The sequence below is a fragment of the Homo sapiens genome, chromosome 14 (genome assembly GCF_000001405.40).
Source record: "Homo sapiens chromosome 14, GRCh38.p14 Primary Assembly".
NCBI lineage: Eukaryota > Metazoa > Chordata > Mammalia > Primates > Hominidae > Homo > Homo sapiens.
This window is the reverse complement of record NC_000014.9, coordinates 45,077,909-45,096,360: the sequence shown is the minus strand read 5'-3', so window position 1 is coordinate 45,096,360 and position 18,452 is coordinate 45,077,909. Positions and strand designations below refer to the sequence as shown.

The 18,452-nt window shown below is 40.7% G+C and overlaps 1 protein-coding gene, 1 long non-coding RNA gene and 1 other non-coding gene across 3 annotated transcripts in view, besides 1 other annotated feature; 1 reads left to right on the top strand and 2 right to left on the bottom strand.

The window, feature by feature from the left end:
• Positions 1 to 12,245, bottom strand: part of PRPF39 (pre-mRNA processing factor 39) — a 32,167-nt gene extending 19,922 nt beyond the window's left edge. Inside the window, exons 1-3 of the mRNA NM_017922.4 lie at positions 12,112 to 12,245; positions 798 to 1,140; positions 133 to 258 (exon numbers count right to left, since the gene is read on the bottom strand). Of these exons, the coding sequence (NP_060392.3) occupies positions 133 to 258; positions 798 to 1,121 (450 nt within the window). The 5' untranslated portion in view covers positions 1,122 to 1,140; positions 12,112 to 12,245. The remainder of the gene's footprint in view (positions 1 to 132; positions 259 to 797; positions 1,141 to 12,111) is intronic.
• Positions 8,053 to 8,118, bottom strand: LOC124903416 (small nucleolar RNA SNORD58). The gene has a single exon (XR_007064394.1). It is a non-coding gene; the product is annotated as a small nucleolar RNA SNORD58 (small nucleolar RNA).
• Positions 12,251 to 12,540: a silencer, noted in NCBI's record as "silent region_5694". NCBI's record gives its function as "represses an Ori minimal core promoter by ATAC-STARR-seq in GM12878 lymphoblastoid cells {active_cell/tissue: GM12878}" and the evidence as "EXISTENCE:reporter gene assay evidence [ECO:0000049][PMID:35858748]".
• Positions 12,335 to 13,313, top strand: PRPF39-DT (PRPF39 divergent transcript). The gene is made up of 2 exons (NR_184211.1): positions 12,335 to 12,889; positions 12,974 to 13,313. It is a non-coding gene; the product is annotated as a PRPF39 divergent transcript (long non-coding RNA).
• Positions 13,314 to 18,452: the final 5,139 nt, after the last annotated feature.

Here is an 18,452-nt window from a genome sequence, read left to right as displayed (position 1 = left end):
CCCTATAAAAATTGTTTGACCATAAATGGTAGGTACTGCCAGCCAAAAAAAAAAAAAAAAAAAAATCTTTGTTTTGTTATTAATTGGCTTACAGTACCTATTGGAGATAAGTTTATTCAGTGATGTACGCACCTCATCTGATGGTTTAATGTTGTCGTGCCGCTTTTCAAGGTCTGCATACTTTTTCCAGTAACCATAGCAATACGGATAGTGTATGAAAAATCTGTCAAATGCCTTCCTGGCAGCCATCAAGTGATTCTGATAAAAATAAAACAGTATTTAAATATTGTGGAAATTTCTGTCAAAAAAATATTTATTATTCCTTTCAAACGTTATTATCTAAAAAAATAATAATAAATGGCAGGCTTAAAAACTCCACATGCAGGCTGCTCTGCCGATGGAGCAGCCCTTCTTTTATTCCTTTACTTTCTTAATAAACTTGCTTTCACTTAAAAAAAAAAAAAAAAAAAACCTACACAGGCAGCAGCCCCCTTTTTCTTCTAAACGCAATTGAAACAGAAGGAACTAATTTTGCCAACTTTTTATTTCAGCAATTTTACACACACATTTACACCTCAATTATTACAAAACATTAAGCTTTGACACTACTGACTCTCTACAACATACAAAAGCTGTAAGCTATTTTCAAAGCTAAAAATGTAGCTACCTAATGTTATTCAACTTCATTTGAAAATTATGAGTCAATTTTAATCATAAACAATAAGGTCTACTGTTTCATTATAAATTAATGACTTGATTAATTTGTCCCTTCTGATACCATTTTAATAGTTACTAACCTCCTGTTCTACATATTGAAGCAAATATACCCAGCCTGTAAAATCCTGAGGATTATTTTCTACAGTTTTCCAAAATTTTTCATATTCTGGAGGGAAATTTGCTTCTGTTTCTGTCAGCGTCACTGGAAGGTCCACAGCACTTGCCATTTCAGTTTCTTCTGTAGATGCATTCACATTGGGAGAGTCATCAGGTGACTGTTCCATTTCTGTAACGTTCATAATCTCAGTACTGAAATCAGTAGGATGTTCTACCACTACCTCTGAACTGTTGCCTGTGCTGCCATTACTAGAATTTCTGTATTCATCCATGTGAGAATTTTGCATATTGTCTTCAGTTAACGATCTGTGGAAACACGAAAAAAAGAGAAATATCTTCCAAATGCCAATAAAATTATTTGGCCTCAACAACACCTTTTAAAAAGCCCTAATTTAGCTATTAAAGAAATATTAATGTGAGTCTTAATCCCCTACAAGTCAGAATCAGAAGGTTCATTAGTTTTTATATTGTAAATAAAATTATAAATTCTTCACAAAACTGCCATTTTGTTGTTGGTATTTGAATGAAAACCAAATAACTGTGGATTTGTTACCTCATTCAAACAACAAATAAGTACACTGCCTGCTACCCAATGAAGAAATACTATTTAAAATTCAATGTTTCTTATTTAGGTAAGAATCTGATTCGGTGCCTGAATGTTACCTTGCTATCAATCACTGGAAAACGGCATATCTTTAACAACTGTTCTGGAGGCTAAAAGTAAAACTGACAAAAATTCTGGTCATGGGTATAAACATTTCAAAAGGAAGCTCATCACTTGGCTCAGGATAAAGTTTTAGAAAAGATAAAATCATATTGCTTAAATATATCTATATACTTACGATTTATAAATCCTGACAGCTAGGTTTCAACTTTATTATATAAGATATAAATTATGGCTTTAAAAAATTAAACAGTAATTTTTAAAGTGAATAAATGTTACTTAAAACACATTTAAGGGGCCAGGCATGGTGGCACACAGCTGCAGTCCCAGCTACTCAGGAGATGCTGTGGCAGGAGGATCACCTGAGCCCAGAAGTTCAAGGCTGCTGTAAGCATTGACCCTGCTACGATACTCCAGCCTGGGCAACAGAGCACGACCCTACCTCTAAAAAACATATTTGAGAAAGGCTTACAGTCTGGATAATAACTACATAATATACTTAAAATTATGTCATCTAATTTTTAAGGCTATAAGGTAATAAGCAATTACCCCTTTAAGGTAATACCACATTATATTTTCATAATTACCTTCATCTCTTCCACTAACAGCTTAAATGGAAACCAAATCATTAAATTATAGGGCATGTCTCATTTTTTTTAAAATGAGGAATTATTCTCAAAATTAAGCAGACCATAAAACTGATTTACTCTTAAAATATACTTAGAATATACTACTACTTAATATATTAATAGTAGTTAATTAAAAAGATGACTAAAACTTTAAAGACAATAATGCAAAGGAAGAAATGCAAATGACCAATAAACATAAAAAAGACCTATATCTTTACTAATAAAGACATAAATCAAAATAATGAGTGTACCAAATAGCAACTGTACATATTTTATACTATGGAAATAATCAGAAAAAACATGTATTTGTTTAAGGGCATTCATTACCAGCACTGTTGTACAGCAAAACTGGAGGGTGTATTAAGAAAAAGACTGCTTTGGCCGGGCGTGGTGGCTCATGCCTGTAATCCCAGCACTTTGGGAGGCTGAGGCAGGCGGATCACCTGAGGTTGGGAGTTCGAGACCAGCCTCACCAACAAGGAGAAACCCTGTCTCTACTAAAAATACCAAATTAGCCGGGCGTGGTGGCACATGCCTGTAATCCCAGCTACTCAGGAGGCTGAGGCAGGAGACTCTCTTGAACCTGGGAGGAGGAGGGTACAGTGAGCCGAGATCATGCCATTGCACTCCAGCCTGGGCAACAAGAGTGAAACTCCGTCTCAAAAAAAAAAAAAGAAAAGAAAAAGACTGCTTTAATAAATAGTATACTCGGCCAGGCACGGTGGCTCATGCCCGTAATCCCAGCACTTTGGGAGGCCGAGGAGGGTAGACCACCTGAGGTCAGGAGTTCAAGACCAGCCTGTCCAACATGGTGAAACCCCATCTCTACTAAAAATACAAAAAATTAGCAGGGTGTGGTGGCACACGTCTGTAGTTCCAGCTACTCGGGAGGCTGAGGCAGGAGTATCACTTGAACCCGGGAGGTGAAGGTTGCAGTGAGCCAAGATCGTGCCACTGCACTCCAGCCTGGGCAATACAGTGAGATTCCGTCTCAAAAAAAAAAAAATAAATCATATATAATGGAATAATAAGAATTAAAAAGGAAATATGTACATCTGTATTGATACAGAAAAATATCCATTATAGATTTTTTAAATACATATATATGCATACACACATGCACTCACAGATTTGTAAGGATTTACACCAAATAAAATAAAATACAAAACTGGCAGCTGGTGTTAACAATTGTTCTCCATACAAAAGAGAGATGTGTGCTTTATTCTTTTTGCCTATCTGCAATTACTTAACTGAATGGGGGGAGAAGTTTTTTGTTATTTTTTTAAAAAGCCAGCTATAAGTTGACTGGATACATTTTTTTTTTAACAATTTTATGACTACCATACTATAAAAATCTGAGTTTCACTACCGTCTATGCAGAAATTTGCAAATCTGGCTCCAAACAAGTCAACTAGTAAGCTGTTTAAAACTAATATAGATTCCTTACCGACTACAATGATTCTGAGGTCTAGGGAAGGGCCAAGAAAGTTATACTTCTACCAAGTTCTCTAAATAATTCAGAAAAACAGAAACTTGTTTGTGGGTAAACTCTGGAGAGTATAACTTTTGGATTGAAGAATAATACTAAATTTGGAAAGATGCTGACGACTTTTTTTTTTTTTTTTTTTTTTTTGAGACAGAGTCTCGATCTGTCACCCAGGCGGGAGTGCAGTGGCGCAATCTCGGCTCACTGCAGCCCTCGCCTTCCGGGTTCAAGCGATTCTCCTGCCTCAGCCTCCTGAGTAGCTGGGACTACAGGCACGCACCACCATGCCCAGCTAATTTTTGTATTTTTAGGAGAGACGAGGTTTCACCATGTTGGCCAGAATGGTCTTGATCTCCTGACCTCATGATCCGCCTGCCTCGGCCTCCCAAAGCGCTGGGATTATAGGCGTGAGCCACCGTGCACAGCCGATGCTGACAATTTCTCTCTGGAAAAGTTGCACTAGTCATCTGGCAGACACTGTTAGTTGCCTACCCAATATCCCTTCTCACTATTAGTAATTTCCTTACTAATAAAATACTGATTTCATTCAAAGCAGCAATATAGTTAATCTCATGTAAGTGACCACAAAACTGAAAAGAACATCAGCTGCAGAGCTCTGAGAAAGCTTCTGCTTTTTTGATAAAAAGGGACAATCACAACTAGTGTGGTCCTTCCTTCTACCAATTTATTCTTACCTTGGATTTGACCATATCTGAAACGATTCATGTCCATGAAGTAGTCTATAAGGGATTGGCCAAGAAAATTAAGAAATACCAACCTTGACATCATCAAGCTCTAACAAAATGCCACCTTCCTATTGTGTAAGGAAATAAATTCCTATTTGTTTAAACTACTATCAATATACAAGTTTTCTATTACTTTGAGACAAAATGAATTCCTAACCAATTAAGTCATCAACAGTGCATGAGACTGTCCATTGCTTTATATCCCCGGCAACAATAGCTATCATTTGCTCATCTAATTTTTTTTTAACAAAGTAGCACCTCATTTTGATTTTCATTTCCTTAACTATGAGTAAGTAAAATTTTTATTTCTTTTTTTCATAAATGCCTTTTCACATCTTTTGCCCATATTTTCTGTTCATTACTAATTTTTTTCTTATTGGTTTGTATACACTCTTCGTAAACTAAGAAAGCCAGATCTCTGCAAAATTGTAAAATATTATTATAAGTTTGTCATATTAGTTTTGCATTCGGGGTCATGTGTCTATGTGTGACCCTTTAAAATTGTCACACGGATACAAAACCCAGATTCTAAAACATTTCCATCATTTCAAAATGTAGCATGGCCAGGAAAGGTGGCTCACACCTATATCCCAACACTTCGGGAAGCCAAGGTGGGTGGATCGCTTGAAGCCAGATGTTCCAGACCAGCCTGGGGAACAAAGTGAGATTCCATCACTACAAAAAAATCTAAAAATTAGCTGGGCACAGTGGTGTGTGCCTATAGTCCTAGCTACTGAGGAGGCTGGGGTGGGAGAATCACTTGATCATCCAGTAGTTCAAGGCTGCAGTGAACTACGATCACACTACTGCACTCCAGCCTGGGAGACAGAGCAAGATTCTATTAAAAACAAGGAAAAAAGAAAAAGAAAGAACAAATAGTATGAAACCATTTTTTTCCTAAGCCTGGGAGACAGAGCAAGATTCTATTAAAAACAAGGAAAAAGAAAAAGAAAGAACAAATAGTATGAAACTATTTTTTTCCTAAGAAAGAATAAATTTTAAATGTTAAAAGACCTTCTGAGTCTGAATGCCATTGAAAGAATTAGCTATAACCAGGTAAATCTAGGGAATACACAAAAATTTGAAAGGAAAAAATGGGACATGTGGGGATGGGGGAAGGGGACAAAAAATTTTCAATGCCTGATGGATGTCCAGCACTGTATTACATTCCTCGTAGTGACATATAAGTGTAAGATAAGGTCCTTACTCACTAATGTCTATTAACCAGGTAGAGAAAGAGCTAACACACAACACATACACACACACACAAACACATACACACACACATTTGGAGATAAGCTCTCAAATGAAACAAAGTGAAAGATTATTGAAAAAATCATTTGAAAACAATAGCAATCTATAGATGAAAACATGAAATATAATTAACTTTGAAAAATTATGGAATAATAGAAAAAGAATGGTAAACTATTCTAGAATGTGGAACAACCCATTAAACAACTCTCCTTGACAGCAGACAAGAAGGTAGAAATGATGACTGAAAAGATAAGAGAGACACAGAATGACCAGAATGAAGAGGTTGGTATTGAGAAGTAGAAGGGTAAAAGCAAAGTAGCATGGAGCCATATTATGGACAAAAGAATTTGAGAAAAAATTACAGAAAAAGCAAATCTAGCCAATGCATAATAAAAGAGAGTCCAAAGTAGTAGACTACCAGAAAAAATAAGTTCCCTTCTAGTTCAATGTATGATTAATGTCATCAACTTTTCCAAGTTTAATCACTTCAGGCCCTAGGAAAAGGCAAAGTAACTTGTAAATTTATTTTGTTCTTTTTCCCTCTTCCTTTAAAGAAAAAGATACGTTTGAAGATTAATTTTCCAAATGCAAATTAGTCACTAGTTTGTGGTTTTGTATTTCAGAGCTCAGTCTAAAAACAAAATACAAAAAAGACTGTAGGCTGATACATTCTGAGTCATTAACTAGCTACCCTATTCTAATTTCACACTTAGGTGAGACATAAGGGTTTCTTCTGGAATCAGCAAATTTACCACACCCCTGCATCTTCAGAGCCTGTCAATTACTCCACACCCTGCAATCACAGTGTTGTAAAAAGATTTAAGAACATCAACCTTATGCTTATAGAGATCATTTTGATGATTACTTCACAAATCACAGAGTCAAAAGAATACACTAAAGTTATTTTTTAATGAGTTACTCCAACATATTATTTATATGTCAATTATTATCAGTTTATTCTTAACAACAACCAATAATTTTCAACTAGCAACATAAAATGGGAAAGGGTACAGAATAGCTATCAAAAGAAAGAAATAAAACGGGCCAGGCATAGTGGCTCCTGTCTGTAATCTCAGCACTTTGGGAGGCCAAGTAGGCCGATCACCCATGAGTTCCAGACCAGCCCAGGCAACATAGCAAAAACCATTCTCTACAAAAAAATACAAAAATTAGCCGGAGGCTGAAGTGGGAGTCAAGGCTGCAGTGAGTCGTGATCGTGCCACTGCACTCCAGCCTGGGTGACAGAGCCAGACCCTGCCTCAAAAAAAAGAAAGAAATCAAGTGTGATACTGACATAAAAACAGTCAAATAGGCCAATGAAATAAAGAACACAGAAATAAACTCCCTTCTCAAATGGCCCTCAACAAAGTGCTAAGACTGCTCATTGAGGAAGGGATCGTCTCTTCAAATGGTGCTTGGAAAACTGGATATCCACGTGCAAAAGAATGAAGTTGGACCCTGGTCTTATACTACATGTAAAAATTAACTTAAAATGAAGTAAAGACCTAAATGTAAAACCTAAAACTATAAAATTCCTAGAAGAAAACGTAGGGGAAAGCTTAATGATACTGGACTTGGCAGTGAACTCTTGGATAATGCCAAAAGCACAGGCAAACAAAAGCAAAAACAGACAAATAGGACTACATCAAATTTAAAAGCTTTTGTGCATAAAAGGACACAATCAGTGGAGTGAAAAGGCAACCTACAGAATGGGAGAAAATATTTGCATATCATATCTGTAATAAGGGGCTAAGTAATCATCTCTTCACTGTATCAGTAATTTTCAAACTGTAGATTGCTTCACACCAGTTTCTTGAACCTTTCTTCAAATGGAAAATAGAATAGAAAAAAATTTTAGCACAGTGCTTTGCATAGTAAAAGTATATGGTTTTATGACACTTTAATGTAATAATACATATACATGTGTAATTCAACTACTGTGTATCGAGTTGCCTGGCACACAAAGACACTCATTATTTCTGAAGAATGAATGAATGAAAGCATGTCATCTGCACTGCTATAACTTCAATTACTAGCTATTAATGATAATAAGATATGCTATTTATTGAGCAAATATTTTGTTAAATGCTACTTTCCCTTTTAAAGATGACAAAACCAAAATTCATTAACGTTAAATAACTTGTCTAAATGTACATGAATAGTAAGAAACAGAGCTAAGATTCAACCTCATCCTAACACCAAAACTCTTGCCTCTTCTCTACTAACTTGTACAGCCCAGACATTCTATTTCTGTTGAGTTTTGCTTTCTGTTTTTTCCAATTCTGTTCCTTTCAGCTTAGGAACCTTAGTACATGCAGTTTCTTCTACCTGAATGCTTCCTCATCCCTTTACCTGACACCACACTCTGACTCAGTGCCTTCAAACTAACTAAAGCCTAATCTTCTGGGCAAAGTTTGCTTTTTAATTTTTTTTTCAACAATTGCTCAGAGAGTAGTTGTTTTCATAATTAATCCAAAATTGTCCTAAGAAATGCCATCATCACAGTGGGCAAAGTTTAACATCATTTCCTGAAAAGTGTTATCATACCCCCCAAATAAATTAGGTTGCCCTCAATCATGCCCCAACAGCATTCTTTTTCTCCATAGCACATAACACATTTGTGATACTTGTTCAATGTGTATCTTCTCTACCAGATTACACAATTCTTGAGAGTAAGGACCATATCTACCAATACACAGGGATACAGTACACCTGGAGGCCTAGTATACACTCAATTCATTGAACAATAAACAAGTAACATTAGTCTTCAGTAACCCATACTAAAACCCAGTATATTGCTTTCATAACCAAATGGGAAGTGATAAGTACTTGGGTTTTAGAGGCCAGAAGAACACTTATGAGGCCGGGCGCAGTGGCTCACGCCTGTAATCCCAGCACTTTGGGAGGCTGAGGCGGGCGGATCATGAGGTCAGGAGATAGAGACCATCCTGTCTAACACGGTGAAATCCCGTCTCTACTAAAAATACAAAAAAAAAAAAAAAAAAAATTAGCCGGGCATGGTGACGGGCGCCTGTAGTCCCAGCTTCTCAGGAGGCTGAGGTAGGAGAATGGTGTGAACCCAGGAGGCGGAGGTTGCAGTGAGCCGAGATAGCGCCACTGCACTCCAGCCTGGGTGACAGAGCAAGGCTCCATCTCAAAAAAAACAAAACAAAACAAAAAAAAAACAGTCTTCTGGCTACTCATTAGGGAACTCTGAGCCAATTACTTAACCTCTCTAAGCCTCATTCACAAAATATTCAAACATACCTCGGTATAAAAATGAATGATCCCCTATCCCACGATGTATACAATTAAGATCTGTCCATCAAAAAAAATAATACACTCTGGGCCACCCATGCAGTGGCTCAAACCTGTAATCCCAGCACTTTGGAAGTCGAGGTGAGAGGACTGCTTGAGTCCAGGAGTTCGAGACCAGTCTGGGCAACATAGGGAAATGCTGTCTCTACAAAAAAATTTAAAAATTAGCTGGGTGTGGTGGCACGCACCTGTAGTCCCAGCAACTTGGGAAGCTGAGGCAGGAGGATCACCCAAGCCCCAGGAGGTGGAGGTTGCAGTGGGCTGACCATGTCAGTGCACTTCAACCTGGGCGACAGAGCGAAATAATACACCTTAAAAAATTAACTATCCCCTTCTTTCCATTCACACTACTAGTGTTATAATTTAAGTATTTATTTTCTCCCCTCTGGATCAATGTTTTCAAATGCAGATTGCTTCAAACCAGTTTCTCATTTTTTAAATGTAGAAAAACAGATATACCACAGTGAATGCACACATTAAGGGCACACTGTTGAAGCACACACAATTGAACTGTTTATTGAGTTAGTGATGTCCATGTACATCTTATTGTGGGCTGCAGTAAAAAAAAAAAAAAAAAAAAAAACTGAGAAACACTGCTGCACTACTGCAAACTAATATTACTCGAATATTAAATTTCCTGATCACAGCTCAACAAGAGTAAAAGGAAAAAAAAATTAAATTGGGTGAGAATGAGGCCTTATCAGTTTTGTTCACCGCTGTCCCCCTTGAACCTGAAATAATACTTGCCGTGTAACAGCACAACAAATATCTCTGAATGATATATCCAGTCTCAACTTAACTTTCCAAAAGTATTAATCTTACAATACTCCTCCTCATTGCCATTTCCAGAGTCCCTTAGATTTTTCCTTTCTGAGCCTTGACAAAAGCTGTTCCCCCAGACTAATAAAAGTCCTCCCTTTTTCAACTCACCAAACCAGTCGATTCCTTTTCACTACATTACACTTTATTATAAAATCATATGATAGGCACAAAGGACACAAGTATAAAATGAAACATAACATAAAGTGAATAGGCAATATATAAAAAATACATTTATCATACCTTTCACTTTTAGTATAATTATGACGTACATTAAGTATTTCAGTGACAATTATGCCATCTTAAAATTTAAAAGGTCTTTTGGAGGATGACTTCAATTACTAACACTTAATTAAAAATGGGACATTTGGGCCGGGCACGGTGGCTCATGCCTGTCATCTCAGCACTTTGGGAGGCCGAGGCAGGCAGATCACCTGAAGTCAGGAGTTCTAGACCAGCCTGGCTAACATGGTGAAACCCCGTTTCTACTAAAAATACAAAAAATTAGGCGTGGTGGCGCGCATCTGTAATCCCAGCTACTGGGGAGGCTGAGGCAGAAGAATGACTTGAACCCGGGAGGCGGAGGTTGCGGTGAGCCAATAGCGCCATTGCACTCCAGCCTGGGCAACGAGAGTGAAATGCCATCTTTTGACCTAATACCTTTTTTTTTTTTTCTGTATGCCTCTTATTCCTGTAGAGGTACTTAAAAATTATACCATTGACTATTCTTTTTCATAAACACAGCAATATATAAAAATCTGAAGTCATCACTAAAGACTGAAAGGAGTTTTGGGTAGAGCAAAACAAGTAGCTTTGCAATAAGCAAATCTCATCCACAAGGCAATCTGGAGATTTGGGATGTAAGAAGAAAAGAGACTATCATAACCACTGGTTTTGGCAGCTGTTTTTAAGGGCTAAGTAGTCACACGCCGACTTTTTAAAGTCTCTACATATTAAACACTGTGTTCCAGAAACTAGATTTTGTATATGTATTTACATAAACGTCTACATCAATCTTCGGCTTTTTGGAAAACGTACCATTTGGCTGGAACTACACTACCTTCTTCCTCCTTCGGCTATTTTTAATTTTTTTTGAAGTCCTATCTTCCATGTAGATTTGTTAAAACATACCACAGAAAACAGCACATACAATTTTTATCATTTGACTTTTAAACATCTTCTTTCTTATTCAATTATAAGCAAGGAAAAATATTCTGAGACTTTACACAAATAGTGTCTCATACCACCTATGAGCCATCTATGCTCAACCCCTACTTCAAAGTTCACAATCTAAGTACTAGTCCTCTTTAACAGAACTCCTTTCCATCACTTTATCCCTACTAGAGAGTGAACAGTGGAAAGTTCCAACTTTTGCAACTCTAGAATGAGGTTATAAATCTAGAGGGAGGAGGAAAACCTGACAGTAGACGCTTGTTCTTTTCACTCCATTCAAGCTCCCATACAGCCTAAAACACTTAAGTTTCAACATGAGCTTCATACGTCCCTGTCCAAAACTTGCTTTCTCAAGCCTCACGCTTTCCAGCTGTAGCAAAGTTTATTTCTGAACAGATTAAATCAGTTGCTAAATAATCTGAAGTCCTCAAACAGAAGGCCATATGAGTATCAAACGAAAAAAACAACATTTGAATCAGCATAAATTCACATGGTATTATGGCATCATTACTAATACACTGAGCAGTATTATTTATTAACTTCAAGTATTAATTAACTTAAAGATGTGATTTTGGAGAAAAACACCAGTGGTGGTCTCTGATTACCAAAGTTAAACATTCTTAAGCACAATCCCTTAAAAAATCCTGCCAGGATCAATGATGTGTTTTTTCTGTTTTAAAGTATCCTGCCAAAAGCTGTGGGTGCTGTGACTTAGGGTCGCAAAAGTGTTGCTTATGTAGTCAGAAGACAGAACGTGCCCTACAAGGCGCTCACATGCCTTAGTAATAGAACGTATATTATCTTCCCAATCCTCTGGCGGCTGCAAATGTGCTCCTTCCACTTCCAGCCACCCCAGCCGTGTTCCAGCTCCGGGAGAAGCAAGGGCTTTAGAATTACCCCCAAATATCTTCCTAAATCCAGGCGAAGGAGGCCCACACTTCTCCACCCTACCTAACGCACCCCTCAAGTGAAACGTTTGGTCTAAGAAAAAAATACCTTGCACCGCTCCACCCAACAGGTGGGAAGGAGAAAGGAATGGACAGCTGAGCGCTGAATCCGAGCCAGGCCTCAAACAGGGCGGGAGAGGGAGGCCGCGGCCAGAGCGCGGCCTGAAACCCGGCAGGCCCCTTTCAGTACCAAGTACCACCCTCTGCCCCAGCTAATTTCAAGGAGCCCGCCCCAGCAGACCTTATGATGGATGCCACTTGATGCCATGAGCCGGAGCCTGTGACGACCTAGCCGAAGATGGCACTTCACCGCCTCCGTCCCCACAGCCAGCACAGCAGCCGCCACCCGCGCCACGGCCGCCTGGTCCAGGGCACGATGCGCATGCGTCAGTGTCCCTGGAGGCGAAAAAGTCACGTGGGTTCGCAGCGCGCAGGCCTGGCCCTCCCAGGGATCCTCGCTGCCCGTGCGGCCCCAGCCCCGCCCCCGCAGCCCCGCCCCGCCCCGCCGCGAGCGAGGGCGGGGACCGCTGCGCCTACCTGCCTTTCCCTCCATAGGGACTTCCCAAAGGAAAGGAGGGCGTTTAGGGGCTTTCACACGCCTGATCTTAAACACAGCGCCCTGACCCCTCCCCACCAAAAACGGCAAAATGTCATTTTTGGGGGCAAATCTAAGGTTTTCCCTACAATTGTTCAAGCTTTCACACTAAAACATTTACCTAAAAACGGGCAGAAATTCAGCCTTAAACCCACAAATCTCACGATGGTATAGACCCTGGGCCCACTCAGGTTTCCTGAAAACTAAACAGTTCTGGAGTTAGGGGTTTGGAGAACGGGCTATTGTTAAAGAAAAAAGTATTTAGTGACACTTGTTAAAGCACAAAAAGAGGGCTTTATTCAGGACCATCGCAACAGGTATAGGGACCACTGACTGCAATGGAGACTTGCAGTAGGGAAAGAGATATTGGGCTCAACTCCTCATACAGCATGGGCAAGTGGAGATTTATAGCCAAGGAGCGGTGGTAAGTGAATGTATAATTACTAAGAGGAAACATCAGGGTAAGGGGGATTTTGGCTAAACCCACCTAATAGGATTTTTGCTGAAGACAGGCCAAGATAATGAGGCATCACCTGGGGGATGGTGGAGACTGAAGAACCTGATCAGATATTGAGGATGATCAGCTATCAAGGATGGGGGTTTATTGCTAATCTGACTTAGCAAAGTTCTTTGCTTAAACTGGATTTTACAAAGAAAGTGTACAGAAGAGCCTAGCAGAAGATTCAGAAACCTGACTAAAGTTGGCCAAGCAAAAAAAAAAATCTTTGTATCTGAAGGGATATGTTATCCTCTGGACAAATTGAGGGGGACTGTGCGTTAACAATCTTAGCAGTCCTCTTCAGTTGTACCACCATCTCCACTTTAATAAAAAAAAATTTTCTTTCAAATCTGGCCTCTCTCCCTTTAAGATTCTGTTACATTGGTGCCCCCGCATTCACCTGTCACTTACCATGTAATCTGTTGTTCCAGGTGCATTAGTATTACTACTGGGCTCCAAGTTCCTCATCTGAAATCTGTCTCCTCTGGAAATACTTATTTACAAGACGACGTTTCTTGTCACAACGCAGGTTAATCATAAATCCTCTCACCAGCACCTTTCGTTCGAAATACCAAATTCAGTCTTTTTTCCTACCTTTTACTTGCATCACACTGCACCTAGTAGTAGCTTTCCCTTTCCATTTGCCTCTTCTACTTTCCAAGCTAACTTTTTTGGATTCTCTGACAGTGTGGCCATGTTTTTTGTTTGTTTGTTTCACAGGTTTAAACAGCAGCTTTTAAATGTTTACTGTGGGAAGAATAGTCAAGGGAGTGGTGCGTTGGGAAGACAGACCAGAGTTTGCTGCTGGCACTGTTACGCAGGGACTGTTTGGCATGACCTTCACTCCTTTTCTGGTTCTTTGGTCTTTCTAAGGTGGCCTCAATTTCTTTATCAGTAAATAAGATTATCTCTGAGATGTCATTCACTCAAATAGCCATTTTATAAAAATCTACTTGCATCTTCAACTTCATTCACTGTGGATTCGTTGTTTTCCTTTATCTAGTTTTTACATTTTACCTTTCAAGCCGGTGCTATTGCTCTCACTCCCCCGCTTAAAAACCTCCACTGGTTTCCTCCTCCACTTTTTTTTTTTTTTTAAAGAAATCCTAAACTTTTAGAATGGAAAATACGGTGTTTTCATAATCATGCCAGCCTTCTCACTGTTTCTGCCTCCCCGTAACTCCACAGAACCTACTGTTCCCACAGCCCTTTTATGCGTGGAAACCTTTAAGTGGGCTCTTCTCTTTGCCTAAAATGTGATCCCCGCTGGCAGAAACATACATTATCTTAAAAACTGATTTAGCCGGCAGGGCGTGGTGGCTCATGCCTGTAATCCCAGCGCACTTTGGGAGGTCGAGGCGGGGAGATCATGAGGTCAGTAGTTCGAGACCAGCATGACCAACATGGTGAAACCCCATCTCTACTAAAAATACAAAAATTAGCTGGGTGTGGTGGCGCACGCCTGTAATCCCAGCTACTCAGGAGGCTGAGGGAGGAGAATTAATTGAACCCGGGAGGCAGAGGTTGGAGTGAGCCAAGATGGTGCCACTGCACTCCAGCCTGGGAGACAGAGTGAGACTCCATCTCAAAACAAAAACAAAAGACAAAAAAAAAAAAAATTGATTTACCCTTAGTTGACTTTTTTAAAATTGTGTATCACAATTATAAACTTTGGGAAGAAAAAAGATATTATACCAAATAATGTAGTTTAGAGGGTAGTGGTGTGTCCAGAATTGGTGGGTTCTTGGTCTCACTGACTTCAAGAATGAAGCCGCGGACCCTCGCGGTGAGTGTTGCAGCTCTTAAGGTGGCGTGTCTGGACTTGTTCATTCCTCCCGGTGGGCCCGTGGTCTCGCTGGCTTCAGGAGTGAGGCTGCACACCTTTGCAGTGAGTATTACAGCTCATAAAAGCAGTGTGGACCCAAAGAGTGAGCAGTAGCAAGATTTATTGCAAAGAGCAAAAGAACAAAGCTTCCACAGTGTGGAAGGGGACCCAATCAGGTTGCCACTACTGGCCCAGGCGACCTGCTTTTTATTCTCTTATCTGGCCACACCCACATCCTGCTGATTGGTAGAGCCAAGTGGTCTGTTTTGACAGGGCACTTATTGGTGTGTTTACAATCCCTGAGCTAGACACAAAGGTTCTCCACCTCCCCACTAGATTAGCGAGATACAGAGTGTGGACACAAAGGTTCTTCTCCAAGTCCCCACCAGAGTAGCTAGATACAGAGTGTCGACTGGTGCATTCACAAACCCTGAGTTAGACACAGGGTGCTGATTGGTGTGTTTACAAACCTTGAGCTAGATACAGAGTGCCGATTGGTGTATTTACAATCCCTGAGCTAGACATAAAGGTTCTCCAAGGCCCCACCAGAGTAGCTAGATACAGAGTGTCGATTGGTGCATTCACAAACCCTGAGCTAGACACAGAGTGCTGATTGGTGTATTTACAATCCCTGAGCTAGACATAAAGGTTCTCCAAGTTCCCACCAGACTCAGGAGCCCAGCTGGCTTCACCCAGTGGATCCCGCTCTGGGGCTGCAGGTGGAGCTGCCCGCCAGTCCCGCGCCCTGCGCCCGCACTCCTCAGCCGACGGGTGGTCGATGGGACTGGGCGCCGTGGAGCAGGGGGCGTCGCTCATCTGGGAGGCTCGGCCGCACAGGAGCCCAGGAAGGGGGTGGGAGGCTCAGGCATGGCGGGCTGCAGGTCCTGAGCCCTGCCCCGAGGGAAGGCAGCTAAGGCCCGGCGAGAAATCGAGCGCAGCGCCGGTGGGCTGGCACTGCTGGGGAACCCAGTACACCCTCCGCAGCCGCTGGCCCAGGTGCTAAGCCCCTCATTGCCCGGGGCCGGCAGGGCCGGTCGGCTGCTCCGAGTGCGGGGCCCGCCAAGCCCACGCCCACCCGGAACTCCAGCTGGCCCGCAAGCGCCGGGCGCAGCCCCGCTTCCCGCTGGCTCCTCTCCCTCTGCACCTCCCTGCAAGCTGAGAGAGCCGGCTCCGGCCTTGGCCAGTCCAGAAAGGGGCTCCCACAGTGCAGCGGTGGGCTGAAGGGCTCCTCAAGTGCCGCCAAAGTGGGAGCCCAGGCAGAGGAGGCGCCGAGAGCGAGCGAGGGCTGTGAGGACTGCCAGCACGCTGTCACCTCTCAGTGGGTTCTAAAAAACAATATTTAAAGTCATGTGATCTCAGAAACAGAACAAAGAAGTCAGACAAATGGGAAATGATATTATTTATTAATGCAGTTCTTCCATTTGCCCCTCCAGATCAACAGATCATCCACCCTGCTCCATTATTTGGAGATTGACCCTTATAGACCGTATCAATAGGTTCTCTTGCTTCCTGGTTTCTGGTTGAGTATGGCCAAGAAAAAGTCCTGGCAGAGTGGAATTGAGGAGTGAGGTCAGGGTATTTATTCCTCCAGCTCCCTCCATGTGGGTGATCTCAGCTCTGATGAAGGTAACCCTCTCAATATAACTTCATTCTAGGTTCCAGGTTTCCCTAAGCCATGCCTTTATAAATACTCCCTTATTAACCACTTCCCAAATTATGCCGATTTTGATTTGCTGTCTATTTCCTTCTGGGTCCTGATTGATATAAGAGCAAAATGTATCTTGTGATACCCAGTGTTAATCACAATTTCTGAGCTGTTCAGTATGATTCCTGTTTATTCTCTTCAAAACGTTAACATGCCATGAAAAAGTGCGTAAAATACTTTGTGGATCATTTAATTTACAGAATATATTGCTCTAGGGAATGAACTTTGTTTACATTATAAATAATCCATCACTAAATAAATTGTGGTGACTCTTCTGTTGGAAACATTCAGACTCCTGTATTTAGTGTTTCTCCTTACTGGTAAAGCAAGTAAAGTTAAAACTGTAGCTCCAGGAGATTTAAATCCAAACACAACATGAAGCTTGTTTCCTCTTTACTATTTGGTCTTTCATATTTAGTTCAAATGGTATTAATATCTCCTCAATTCAGTCTTCCTGAGAGTTATCATTGTTACTCCTGTTTCCGGATAACCTTAAAGAAGAGCGCCATAGTAATACCACTCTGCACATTCCTCTTATTCCCTCAGAGACTTATGGCTACTTATTAGGGTAACTTCACACCAGGAAACAGAAAACATGCTGGCTTCTTGGAATTTATTAAACATTGGACCTGAATTAATACCAATTCCTGGGGCATAGAATGCCACTGTGTTTCATCAGAGTGGGGCTTATGGAATATGGCAGATGTTGTAGGTCAGCTTAGAAATATCCATGCCCACTATCTTCTCTATTATCTTCCTGTACTATTGAGACTGGGAAACGAAATACTCAATTTCCTAGCCTCCTTTGAACCTAAGGGTGGCCAATGAGATGTAGGTAGAAGTACATAGGAAGGGCCTTCTTTCCTAAATAAAAAAGCGAAGCCTCACTAGAGAAATACCTGTGCTTGTTATCCATTTTACTTTTTTTTTCTGTCTGAAGCACAATTATGATATTTGGAGAGGAAGCTGCCGTCTTATAATCAGCTCTGATATCATCAAGCCATTGGCATAATGCTTAGCCAGTGCTTTTACACTTCTTGTAGTATGAGACAAATAACATACCAATTGGTTTAAGCTACTGTTAGTTTGGTTTGCTATTCAGTCAAAAGCATTCCAACTGATACAACAGCCTTAGAAGCTATAATAAAACTTAGGGAACCTTTCTTATCAAATATCTCTTATGAAAATATGAAACAAAAGGCAACACAATTCCTTGAGGGAATCATAGAGATGAGTGCCTCAAAGTCTTGATCAAGTGTTCATCAGTGGATGAATGAATAAAGAAAATGCCGTATATAGACACTGTGAAATACTAGTCTTAAAAAAGGAAATCCCATCATTTGCAACAACATGAATAAACCTGGAGGACATTATGTTAAGTGAAATAAGCCAGGCACAGAAAGAAAAATAATACATGATCTCACTTACATGTGGAATCTAAGAAAGTTGAACTCCAAGAAGTAGAAAATAGGATGGTGGTTTGCAGGAGCTGGCAGGCTTGGGGTGGGGAAGTGGAAAAAAGGATGGGTAAAGGGTCCAAAGTTTCATTTAGAAAGGAAGAATTATGGCCGGGCAAGGTGGATCATGCCTGTAATCTCAGCAGTTTTGGTAGGCTGAGGTGGGAGGATCCCTTGAGCCCAAGGGTTCAAGTCCAACCTGAGCAACATAGCAAGATCCCATCTCTAAGACTATTTTTAAAAATAAAAAAAAGAAGCCCAGGCATGGTAGCTCACGCCTCTAATCTCAGCAATTCGGGAGGCTGAGTTGGGCAGATCACCTGAGGTCAGGAGTTCGAGACCAGCCTGGCCAACGTGGTGAAACCCCATCTCTACTAAAAATACAAAAAGTTAGCCAGGTGTGGTGGCACTTGCCTGTAGTCCCAGCTACTTGGGAGGCTGAGGCAAGAGAATCGCTTGAACCCAGAGGCAGAGGTTGCAGTGAGCCGAGATTGCACCACT